The 13,566-nt window shown below is 40.2% G+C and overlaps 1 protein-coding gene across 4 annotated transcripts in view; it reads right to left on the reverse strand.

The window, feature by feature from the left end:
- Positions 1 to 13,566, reverse strand: part of DAB1 (DAB adaptor protein 1) — a 1,551,949-nt gene that overhangs the window by 886,037 nt on the left and 652,346 nt on the right. For all 4 annotated transcript variants that reach the window (NM_001379461.1, NM_021080.5, NM_001379462.1 and 1 more), the window contains one exon: positions 3,185 to 3,348. The gene's annotated coding sequence lies outside the window, so the exon portion shown is untranslated. The remainder of the gene's footprint in view (positions 1 to 3,184; positions 3,349 to 13,566) is intronic.

Consider the following 13,566-nt stretch of genomic DNA (forward strand, 5'->3'; position numbering starts at 1 on the left):
GTATTAAATTGAAATCCAGTATCAAAACACCCATTAAAGTGCTCTTTTGAAATTGTACATTTTATATCAATAAAATTTCAAAATATAAAAACCTCTATTTTACTTGTTGAATTCTTAGGAATAATAACTAAACAGTTTTAAAATATTAGTAGAAAGATGGTGTCTTTGAAATAAGAAGAATGGAGTTGGAGCATAAGTTGCTTCTAGTTGAATGACCTGGGCATGATTTATCATGTCTTTGCACCTCAGTTTCCCTATCTGTAAAATGGCAGTAATGCTGACTTTACTTCACTAAGCTGTTGAGTAGATTAAATTAGACTGTGCACATGAAAGCAGTTTATAAATAACAAAATACAGTGTTTGTATTAGTTAGAGTAATCAAAAGCCCCAAGTGAGTCTCTCCCTATCCTAGGGAACACTGCCACTACTGCTGGGTTAGACATCTCAGATTCTCAGAATCAGGCACAACAATATTCACTGTTTCTCTGTCTGTAGAATAATGATCTTTCAATAAAAATCTCCAGAGACTTTCTAACAGTCATAATAACTTTAGTAACTCTTCAGTGGGTACCTACCTTCTGCTAAACATTTCCTAGGCATTTGCCACATAAACAGAAGGAAAGAATTAGCCAGGCATAGGGTCAAGTCCCAGATTTGCAAATAAATATTTATGTGATCTTGAGAGAATTGCTTCACTTTTTGAATCTTTGCTTCCTTATCTATAAATCAGATATGACAGTACCTATTATAAAGGATTATTTTGAAAATTAAAATGTGAAAACCCACTTAAACTATGCAGACACAATACGTGACATAGCAGGCACTCAACAAATATCAGCCCCTTTCTCTTTGAGCACCAAGATTCTAGAATTCCACAGTATAAAGCATTCGTATAAATAGATGTGTGGGGGATGATGGGTGGCTTCTAGCAGGGTGATGTCAGGGAAAGATTTAACCAGAATCTCCATTGCAATATCACATTGGGCCCCTGCATGTGTCTTTCACCCACTGTGCTCATCACCACAATATTTTACAGTGAACATTTAATTTGTTCTATAAAAGGAAAGATTATTCTCAATGATGCATGTGATAAATATGCTGGCTTTAAACCTTTTAGAAATATTAAAGGTTTTACAGCTCAATGTTTGACAGGCTTGATTAATCCCTTCCCCACAGAAATATTCAGGAAGATAGCTGTGGTTGGGTTTTAAAGCTCCAAGAGCGTTCTTTGATAAAGGTAAAGAAAACCTAAAGAGCCTTTAAAAAGAGAGATTCTTGTGCCACACAGAATAGACAAAGAATAGGAAGACCCAGAATGCTGCACAGTATGATAGAGAGTTGGAAGTCAGTGTGGGGGTGGGGTGAGGGGAAACAGTGCTTTAAAACCTCTCTCCTTTAGAGGAGTTTTTAAATGAAAGGCACACATCCAGCCTGTCCACAGGACATGAGTCTAAGAGTTTTCTTCTCTGCTGGATTCCAAAATGGACGATGTGGGAGGGGGCACAGGGCAGACCAATGACAGTACGAACATCAGAGAAGAATGAAATGGAATGTACCATGGCCCCTTCTCAGAGTCCTAGACTATGGAACAGCCTCCTACGTGCTTGCTCAGTTACCAGAGCTATTTCTTGCACAGACCTCTTCAATTCCCCCACTGGATTTTGAGCTCCTCTAAGGAAAAGGAAATATGTTTTGGCTAATTTTTCCCCTCAGCATCTAGCCTAGCTTTTGTACATAATAGGTGCCTCATAGGTGTTAAGCAGATAGAGTTGGCCTTTAATAAACCCTCTACAAAATTGTCTAATAACATAAGTAGTGAAAACACTCCTACTTAAGAATGATGCTTACAAAATTACTAACAGATTCTACCTCCCTTCACCCCATGAAACAAAAGGAAACAGAGACAAAACCATAGAGACTTACTAATAAAACCTCACTCAGCAAACACCTATTGAGCACTATTACCAACCTAGGTGAGCTGGACATGGTTTCCAGCCTCCTTGCCTGGTGAAAGAAACCTGTCAGCACTGTGGTAGCTACTATAATGGAAGCATATTTAGAAAACCATGTAAGACAAAGAAAGGTACACCGAACCCAGTTTTTTTGTCCATGGGAGATGCTAGAAAAAGCTTTGAGAATGAATGCCAGACACTGAAGCCGAATGTTCAAGGACAATGCAAAGAGAGATTAAGGAAGGATGTACACTATATCATGCATACAGTTTTGATCTGTGAACTTCCATTGCAACTCCAAATAAAACGCTTGCTCTGTTAATCAACCTCCCTCACAGAATCTCAGAGTGTCAGCCCACTCTGCTCTGAGGTTTTCTTTGATATCCAGGTCAATCTCTAATACCAACCCCTCTTCTATTTTTATGGAAGCATTTCCCAACAAGAACCGCCAACACATTTGCCACAAGATATTATGGGGCAAAGGTGTAATTCAATTACGTGACTTAATCAATTCAAATGGCTAATGTACAAGAATCTCAGGATGTCATCCAGCTTTCAACTGAGGGTGAATAATTGTTCCATAATTTCTTAATTCTCCCACAAGACAGTTTAAATTAAAGGATGTCAATTTGCAAAGCCAGACTGCATTGTATTCTTAAATTGGGCCTGAAATAGCCACACGATGAAGGGTAATAAGGCAGAGAGCACAACCCAGAGTGCCTGGTGCTGTGCAAAATTGTTTAATACGGTCAGACCCTTTAATCTTCATATCTATTGATGCAGAAAGCAGCATATTTCTGTCACTTATGATAAGAAACATTACTTTTTAAATTCCTTGGTGAGGCCTGCAGATCTTAGGCAGCCAAGATAGCAGGACTCTCTATTTCTGTTTCTGTGAACATTTCTTTTTTCCCTTAAATTGGTTTTATTCTAATCCATTTAGTCTCCAATCTAAGTCAGAGACAAGTAACCCTGAATGGAACCACACAGGAGGGGGACAAAGGCATGCGCCTTTCAGTTCTTAGATTCCGCTGGCTACCGCCTCATTGAATAAGTCAGTGATTAAACAAATAATGAACCTTGGGTTATTAACTACAGAGAGGCAGTTCCAGAAAGGAAGAGTATTGGAGCCGCTTTTGAAAGAAACAAAATCATGCTCAAAAGTGGAGGAGAAGGTATTGGGAGGGGATGATTGGAACTGTTTTCATGAAGTAGCCAAGCATTTTACTCACCAGTGTCCTAGAAAACAGTTCAGTCAATGTGTCCAGGCTGGGTGGGGACGATCCTGGCAAAAGGGGGGTGCCCAGGGTCTGGACTGAAGAAGCTGGATGATGTCTTCCCAAGATTGCCGGGGCCACGAGTCAGGAATCGTCATGGAGAGAAGCCAAGGAAATAGCTGCAATGAAAAAACGATGTCAATTTTGAAGGCAAACCAAAAGAGAAAGAGGATAAAGTACAATGGTCATCACAATGGGGTTTGAAGTGAATGGTTCAGGGTGAAGTGTATGATTTGAAAGTGTGCATGGTACATGTAGGGTAGGTGGTCATGGGGCACAGAGAGCCACATGACGTGTGCTGAGCTAAACAAAAGGGAACTTGTGAGGGTCTCTGTGCCTAGCACTGTGCTAGGCTATGGGAAGGACATGAATAAAAGCAAACATGCTCATTCATCTTTATTTTAAAATGTTGGACTAGGTTAAACATACACAGGCTAAAATTCAAAAGGTACAAATTGTATATTTTTCACTTGGATGAATCTATCTGTAGGATAAATACCTTAAAGCAGAATTATTGGATAAAGAAAATGTATATTTTAAATTTTGATAGATATTGTCAAATAACCATTCACAAAGTTTGTACAATTTTACATGCTCTTCAGAAAATGTATAAAGGAATGCCTTTTCCATATCCTCATTGCTATAGTTCGGATGTTTGTCCTCCAAACCTCATGTTCAAATTTGATACCCAGTGTTGGAGGTGAGGCCTAATGGCAGGTGTTTGGGTCACGTGGGTGGATCCCTCATGAAGAGCATGGTGCCATCCTCACAGTAATGAGTGAGTTCTCGCTCTGTTAGTTCCTATGAGAGCTGGTTGTTAAAAGGACCATGGCACCTCCCTCCCCTCTACCTCTTGTTTCCTCTCTAGCTGTGTGATCTTTGCACATGCTGGCTCCCTCTCCCCTTCCACCATGAAGGGAAGCAGTCAGAGGCCCTCCTCAGTAGCAGATGTTGGCACCATGCCTTCTGTATAGCCTGCAGAACTGTGAGTCAAACAAATCTCTTATCTTTATAAATTACCCAGTCTCAGTTATTCCTTTATAGAAACACAAACAGATCAAGGACAGAGCTAATCACAGATCTTTATCTCAATAGATGTTAGATTATAAGCCATAATGATGCTAATATTAAATGAATTATCATAGCATTTTAAGCATAGCTTTTAGTTTTTATATATACTAATCCATTTATTCCTAACAGCAAACCACTGATGTAGGTACTATTATAATTGTCATTAAAAAGATAAAGAAACAGAAGTATAGAGAATGTAGAAAAGTTGCTTGTGACCACAGCTATGAAGGGCAGAGCCAGGATTCTAGCCCCGGCACCCTGCAGTCCCTCGAAGTCCATATTCTTAACTGTTAGCTCTCATTTCAGGCAGTGGCTTATTATTGATGGTATATGTTATAACAGATACACACAAATAGGAAACCTGAGGGGTGTATGTGTGTACAGGAAATCAAACAGAGAGACCAGTTCTTTCTATTTTAATGAAAGCAGACACAGGCTATTAACTGGGGAAATGTTGGGCTATAGTGATTGATAAGCAGAACTCTAAGAAGAAAACATTAACAAAATATGTTCTTACTTTTTTTCCACCCCTTTCACTAGAAAAAGTATTCTATAAATATTGATGATGTGTTAGAAAGTCAGAGCTGCAAAATTGAAAGTATGGTGTGGCCAAAAGCATATGGCACTTTAAGTAACACAGGCCTGAGTTCAAGTCCAAATTTAACTACTCTTGCTGGATTACCTGAGAAATATTACATTAATTATCTGAGCCTCATTTTCTTCAAAAGAAAAAAATGAGTCTATAATCCCAGGAAAAAGTTATGATGACTAAAACCAAAATATAAACAGTACCAGTCACTCAACAAATATAATTAATTACAAGCAATTTCTACCCTCCTGCTTAATCTTATTCTTTCTGCTTCTCTTTAAAGACCTCTGCTTTAATCAAATTAGTTTATTTACTTTTTTAAAAAACATAATGGAATTTTCCAGTCAGCTTTCATCTCTGCATTCTGCTTTCTCTTGCTGAAATAATCCATTAAGGAGTCCAGGTCTACATCAAATGCCACCAACTCCAAATTTCTAAGTAGTGTTATAGCCTACTATTCTTTTTTTTTTTTTTTTTTTTGAGACGAAGTCTCCCTCCATCAACCAGTGCAGAGGCATAATCTCGGCTCACTGCAACCTCCGCCTCCCGGCTTCAAGCAATTCTCCTGCCTCAGCCTCTGGAGTACCTGGGATTTTAGGTGCGTGCCAACACGCCTGGCTAATTTTTGTGTTTTTAGTAGAGACTGGGTTTCGCTATGTTGGCCAGGCTGGTCTCGAACTCCTGACCTTGTGATCCACCTGCCTCGGCCTCCCAAAGTGCTGGGTTACAGGCGTGAGCCACTGCACCCGGCATATTCTGCTACTGTTAACACATTTATCATCATACCACCAGCAGTTAACAAATTCTTTACCACGTACCAGGCACTGTTCTAAGCCCTTCGTATACTTCATATCTCATTTAACATTTCATATCTCATTTAACACTCTCTGTAAGTCATAGCTGCTGCTGTTATCCCCTCTTAGTGTCACGAATGGCAGTCACTATTTGCATGTCTTCTCTGCACAGCTGGACTAAGGGATCTAAAGAGCAAAGATGCCATATTACACTGAAATATTAGTGTAATATTTAAACTTGTAGACTTTGGACTCAAAGAACCTGAGTTCTAGTCTTGGTCCTGATCCTACCAGCTGTGTGATATTTGGCAAGTTACTGAATCTCTCCAGGCACGTATTTTAATTTGTAAAAAGGAGTGCTGATAATACCTACTTCAAAGTGTCATTGTGAGGCTTGAGTTTGCAGATGTCAGAATTTGAAACAGTGGTTGGCAAATGGTAAGTTTGGAAAATGTCAGCTTTTATTACTTAAACACATGCAGAAGGTTTTCAATAGGTGTTCATCACTACTTCATTTTCTTTTTTTTATCACTACCTTACATATCCGATTCCCTCTGCCTTTACTGCCTCCTCCCACCCTCACACATCATTCTACTGCCAAATTGAAGAACTCAAGGTCTGGGACTTCAAGATCAGCTCCAGTATATGCAAAGCCTTCTTTGGTAGTTTTCTTTCCAGGAATAGCTTCTTCCATTGCACTGTCTATTACCCTTTATACCCAGTTGTTTTGTACCACTCATCTCATTGAGCCTATGCTGCAATTCCTCATGGCAATTCCTGCTCAGAATTGTGGGCTCCCTGAACATGGGGACTATATCTTAATCCCTAATACTTAGCACACTACTGAAATAAGCCAGGTACTCACTGTCTATTAAATGAATAAATTGATGAATTAAACATAAATACCCGAATGATAACAGAAGTCACCAATTCTTAACTCACTACTGTATAATTTACTGAAAAGTCCTTCAATCTGCCAGTCAACGCATAGAAGAGACACTGTGCTAAAACTAAATGTTTTATAAAAATAGATGGGAGAGTTATGTAAGGAAGTAGTTGCATTCCTATCAGTCACATATTCACTCACCACACTGGCAAGCTATTGATGCTTTAGTGATAGACATTGCAAAATGATAGAATCACCAGTAATCTATAAACTCAAGACATTAACAGACTCTGTTTGCTGCTCAGATATAAGCAGAGCATTATGGAGAGAAGATAATAATTAACTCATAAGGAGAGGGGCAAGTAAACATTCTATTAAAAGGAGAAAAATCCCAAATGAATATAATCTCCTTCCATTACATTATGAGCATTAAAATTAATGGTGTTGGTTTTTCTGTGGTTTGGATAGTCATTGTATTTAACAAGCTGAAGTTAACTTCATAGGGAAAAAAATAAATTAAATGTGCGGGTGTCTCAGGAAACTTCATTTTCTGAGTGAATAGCCAAGTTGATGCACATCACCAGAATGTCTGACAATCAGTTTTCCATACTGGTATGTTCTAAATAGGAAAAGAAACCAACTCTTCATTTAAATTATATTGCAAAACACTTCTTGCCTGCTGAATGGCATTCAGCTGCAGTAGGTGGCTTTCACTGTAGGGCCCCGACCACGACATTGGATGATTAATGCTAATTTGAAATGTTTTCTTTGAGGGGGGATGGGCACACTATCTTGGTTCATATAAGGCTGAGGAAATTTTATGGTGGGTGACTGACTCAAAGGCCAACAGCATATTTGCCATCAGATAAAAATGCACATTCACAAACATACCGAGACAAGTCAATTATTCCCCGATCCACCATTCCCTAGGTCCCTTTGTGTAAAGAAACCTACTTATACTCCCCATCAGATGGATATACAGAATCACAGTAAACAAGCCCTCGATTCCACTGTTCTATATTGTATTTCCCAGGGCACCTTCCATTGTGGAAGTCATTAGTTTTGGTCTCTTTGTTCCCAATTTATCAAAACAGACATTTTGCTAGTGACTTCAGTTTTACTCCTAGACACCTAACAGTTAGAAGACACAATTTTTGGCCAATTGAAAAAAGAAACAAAATGTGCTTTGCAATCTTTTGGTGAGGGCGATTAAGAATTTGTTCTTCTCTACCTTGATGACTAATTGATAGATAAATATAAAATCAGTGCTCAAAAGCTTATTCTTTCCCCCTTTCTTACTTTAATTGTTCAAAGAAACAAACCTATCCTTGTGTTTTATCGCCAATAGAATAGACTTAAATCAGATAGTGCACAAATGAGAAAATTAATCTGCATCAACATCTGAAAAAATATATAAATTAAATTAATATGTGCATCATATTTTACTTGTCAAATTAGTAATACTCTTTAAAAAGTAAATAATATTTAGTGTGGGCAGTGGTTCTGGGGACAGATTCTCCTACACTCACTCCTCTGTGGGTAGCCCTGTTCCTAGGTGCCCATTCACAGGGAGCATGCCCATTGCACATTGGTGTCATTGATGGCAAGGAGTGTGCGATGGAGAGTTGGCAGTGCCTGAGCTCAGAACGTCTGTCATGGAATCCTGCCTCTAGCACATTTTACTGTATTATCCTGGGTGAGTTTCCTTCCTTTCACGAGCTTGAGTTTCCTACTTTTCTAGGTTGTGGTGAGTATTTGAGGTAAACTAACTTGCAGCATAGTGCCTGTCGTAAAGTAGGCACTCTATAATCAAGAACTACTACTGCAGTGTCCTTGAAACCTGTTTCTGCGCTTTCAGTGTTTTCCCACTATGCTGGGCATGATCATCAGTGAGTACTTGAGCTGTCGCTTATCAGTATATCTAACAGGCTAATTTATATATGCATAAATATCCAGCGTGCCATAGGACCATATTTTCTGTTATGTATGTAGAAGTCAGTGTGTTCCAATAGCTGAAAGCTAATTTCCACACAGGTCTTGACCTTTAAAATCATTGAATATGCTGTTCAAGTGACAGGATTCTTTCCATACCTGACACTGATTTGCAAAACTAGATATCTAAAAGGCTAAAACATATTTTTTATGAACAAGACAACAGTGTAACAAGCCTGGGAATATGTCACTAAGCCTGACTACAGCAAAGTCTTGGTGACTATCAAAGGACCAGCCTTCTGCCCCGTATGATCCCAGAACAGCTCAGGATCTTTATGCAGGGGAGCTATGGACAGGCCTCTGAGAAGAGCCCAAAGGCCCGGTGAGTATGAGGCACTCTGCACATAGATTGGAGAATTGGTTCTTAGACTGGCTGTATATTGGAGTCCCCTGGGGAACTTTATATATTAATGAAGTGCTGGCTCCACCCCAACCTAGTGAATCACAGTCTATGTGGGTGAGCTTGCACACAGGAAATTTTCTACAAGCTCCTCAGATTCGCAGATGGTAGCACAAACTGGGGCGGGGGGGGGGGAGGGGGAAGAAATCACTGGAGTAGAGGAATGTTCTGATTGGCTGATGATCATTCAGAGCTGTGGGCTTTCTTCTCATAAGAAGGCTGAAAAGTGAAGAGGAAACACAGAATACAAGAAAGAAGAGATAGAAAGCAGGAAGAGTGGCAATGGAGCCCACGGTCGAGTGGGAGGAGCAAGTGGTGATTAAGACTGGGGTGAGGGGTGCTTCCTGAGAACTCTGGAGAATCTTAGAGGTTTGAGTGATTGGAGTTAGGGGACTGGAGCCATAGCAGATCTGTAGTGTGGAAACGAGAGTTTGGACAACAGCCACACACATGCACACCATCTCTCCAGTCTTTGAGGGGGTAATACCACATCTGGAGAATAAAGTGTGGATAATCAGGAACGTGCATGTGGATAAATTGAGAAAAGAGAGTCACTTCTGCCACTGGGTCTGTGACCCCAACTCTTCACCTCTAGCTAACCCATCTCTTTCATACCTCCATGCTGTCCCATTTTTTTTCTTTCTTCTCTTTTTTTGCTTTGCTTTTCTTTCTTTTCTTTTCTTTTTTTTTTTTTTCTTTTGGCTGGGTCTGCCTCTGTTGCCTAGGCTGAAGTGCAGTGGCACAATCTTGGCTCACTGTAGTCTTGAACTCCCAGGCCCAAACAATCCTCTTCCATCAGCCTCTCAAGTCACTGGGATCCCCGGCATGCACTACTATGCCTGGGTAATTTTCAAATTTTTGAAGAAACAAGGTATCCCTATGTTTCCCAGGCCAGTCCCAAACTCCTGGTCTCAAAGGATCTTCCCAAAGCTCTGGGATTACAGGCATGAGTCACCATGTCTTTCTATTTTCTGTTTTTTCACCTAAAAAATTATTTTCTCCATCACCATGCAAAGACCATCAAATATTACCCTGCGTAAAATCTTTCTTGATTTCTTCTGGCACAATGGACTGTATCTCTATTCAGTTAATGAGTATTTCTCTCTGAACACACTGTGCATTTTCATAGTCACAACTCATCACATTATATTAATCTGTGGCTTAAATATATGCCCTTGCCAAAGACTTCATGACTAAAACACCAAAAGCAATGGCAACAAAAGCCAAAATTGATAAATGGGATCTAATTAAACTAAAGAGCTTCTGCACAGTAAAAGAAACCATCATCAGAGTGAACAGGCAACCTACAGAATGGGAGAAAATTTTTGCAATCTACTCATCTGACAAAGGGCTAATATCCAGAATCTACAAAGAACTCAAATTTACAAGAAAAAGACAAACAACCCCACCAAAGAGTGGGTGAAGGATATGAACAGACACTTCTCAAAAGAAGACATTTATGCGGCCAACAAACATGAAAAAAAGCTCGTCATCACTGGTCATTAGATAAATGCAAATCAAACCACAATGAGATACCATCTCACGCCAGTTAGAATGGCAATCATTAATAGTCAGGAAACAACAGATGCTGGAGAGGATGTGGAGAAAATAGGAACGCTTTCACACTGTTGGTGGGAGTGTAAATTAGTTCAACCATTGTGGAAGAAAGTGTGGTGATTGCTCAAAGATCTAAAACTAGAATTACCATTTGACCCAGCAATCCCATTACTGGCTATATACCCAAAGGATTATAAATCATGCTACTATAAAGACACATGCACACGTATGTTTATTGTGGCACTATTCACAATAGCAAAGTCTTGGAACCAACCCAAATGCCCATCAATAATAGACTGGATAAAGAAAATGTGGCACCATGGAATACTATGAAGCCATAAAAAGGATGAGTTCATGTCCTTTGCAGGAACATGGATGAAGCTGGAGGCTATCATGCTCAACAAACACAGGAGCAGAAAACCAAACATCTCATGTTCTCACTCATAAGTGGGAGTTGAACAAAGAGAACACATGGACACAGGGAGGGGAACATCACACACCGGGGCCTGTCAGGGGGTGGGGTCTAGGGGAGGGATAGCATTAGGAGAAATATTTAATGTAGACGACGGGTTGATGGGTGCAGGAAACCACCATGGCACGTGTATACCTAGGTAACAAACGTGCACGTTCTGCACAAGTATCCCAGAACTTAAAATATAATAAAACAAAACAAAACAAAATACATATGCCCTTGCAACTGCATTCTCAATCCTTAGCGTTTTTCTATGTTATCTTTGATCTCTGCTGCAGCACCCAGCACACAGTATAAATTCGATATTTAAAAACAAAACCAGAGCCTATAGCACTATAGTAGACATCTATGAGGTTAGTCTGAATAGCATCCTTTTCGTAGTTTAGAGAATCGTCCCACCTAGCTCGTCCTATGGGATTCTGCAGGACCTATCAATCACAGCGACTTTGAGTAGCAACTTTCTACACTTGAGTCTTCTATCCAAACCTTCCCAGAAGGACCTCTTCATTCACTCACCCCATGGAATTAGGCACATCTGATAGCCTTTGCTTACAATCAGATGATAATGATAATAGCAATTAATGCTTTTTGAATACTTATGATGACCCAGGCACTGTTCTAAGTGCTTTTCATTTATGAACCCATTTAATCAGCACAACCCCATGACATAGGTCACTATTAATATTATTTTCAAGCAAGGAAACTGAAGCACAGAGAAGTTAATAACTTATCCAGGTTCACTCAGCTGGTAAATAGTGGACTTTGGCTTAAACTCAGGCAAGTTGTCTCTGAAGTCTGTTCTTTTTTACCTTATTCTACTCTCAAAGATTCTCACCTGATAGTCTCTTTGTGCTTCTTCAGCTATTTTTGTTTTCTTCTATTCTAACACGTACAATACATTGCAATAGACTGTTTACTTGCTAGTCTCTCATCACTAGACAGTGAATTCCTTGAGACTGAGACCCTGTCTGGTGTCTGTGAATCCCAGGAACCCTGGACAATTCCTGACAGACAGTAGATATAAATCATGTATTTCCAAACTGTTGAAACTGCAGAAACATTCATAGAACTTAGCAACTTTTCCAACCTTCTCTGGCAACAATTATTTTATGTCATTGGTTCTCCAACTTTAATTAGCATCAGAATCATCTAAATGGCTTGTTAAAACATGATTGCTGGGCCCCACCCCCCACCCCTAGAGTTTTTGCTTCAGTAAGCCTAGGGTGTCACCTGAAAAAGTGCATTTCTAGCAAGTTCCCAGGTGCTGCTGTGATGCTGTTCTGAGTGAATATTGCAGAGAGATTCACAAAGGTAAACACCCTGCTTTATTTAATCCTCACAGTCATCTTTCTCAAAAGATACTAAGGTGCTCAAGAGAATATTATATTTCAGGGGCAGATATGAATAGCTCTGGGACTAAAGGGGATTTTAACCTTTCCTGTTCAGGAGCCTGAAAGAAGCATATAATACATATCACAGTCATTTACTAACAACCCAGTCAGAGGCTGGCTTTATTTTCTAGGGGAGAAAATACAGAAATCATGTAAGTTAGCAAATGACATTTAGAGCATAAGCCAAAATCAAATGGTGTATTTTTTTGTTCTAGATACTCCAGAGGCAACTCAATCAATTGTCAGTGTACTGTGTACTTTTCACTGGAATTCTCTGTGCCTGGCCATCAGGATACAGTGAGGAGCCAGGCAGCCCTGGTCCCTGCCCTCAGGAAGCATACAGTCTATCAAGAAAGGCCAGCAAGAGACAAGTAAACATATAAGGAAATAAAATAATTAAGATCAGGAAATGCTGTAACAAGGAAATAAACTGCATGCTAAAGTACAGAATAATGGGGTGGCAGGGGTGTTGTAGCAAGTAGCTAGTCAGACATAAACAGGGCAGGAAAGGCTCCCGCCACCACCAGGAATGTCAGGCAACCATCAGGTGATGGTCAGGAGGTTGTTAACTGTCTCTCTGAAATAATAATTGGTTGCAGCCAGTGCCAGGGAAAGGCAGGCTCTCTATAGATAGGAAAAACCTGAAACTGGTGATCAATACCTTTGTGATAAGATCTCAGGAGTTGTTTGAGAGGGCTCACACCTGAGCACTAAGAGGCAAAATGGCAGCGTTTTAACTTGTATACAGCCTCCTAGGGACATCCGGCTGGGGAGGGAAGAACGCCTCAACTGAGCATGCATACAACTCAGTAAACACACTGTGCATGCTCTCCCAAGCACTAGCAGGCCACTGTGCATGTGGGCAGCCAACCCCAAGGGAAGAATCAGGGGAGAAGGGACACCTGTCCCCGGAAGTATGCCAACGTATAAGACCCCAGGTCGAAAGGTCAAACCCCACATATCTCCTTCAAGTTGCCCACTTGGGCCTCTTCCAAGTGTACTTTCCTTCCTTTTGTTCTTGCTCTAAAGCTTTTTAATAAACATTCACTCCTGCTCTACAGTTTGTCTCTGTCTCTTCTTCGGCTTTCTGTCCCTCAGTCAAATTCTTTCTTCTAAGGAGGCAAGAATTGACATTGCTGAGGACCTGCATGGATTTGCCACTGCTAACAGGGGGAGATATGGTAT

This window comes from Homo sapiens, chromosome 1 (genome assembly GCF_000001405.40).
Source record: "Homo sapiens chromosome 1, GRCh38.p14 Primary Assembly".
In the NCBI taxonomy this organism is placed as follows: domain Eukaryota; kingdom Metazoa; phylum Chordata; class Mammalia; order Primates; family Hominidae; genus Homo; species Homo sapiens.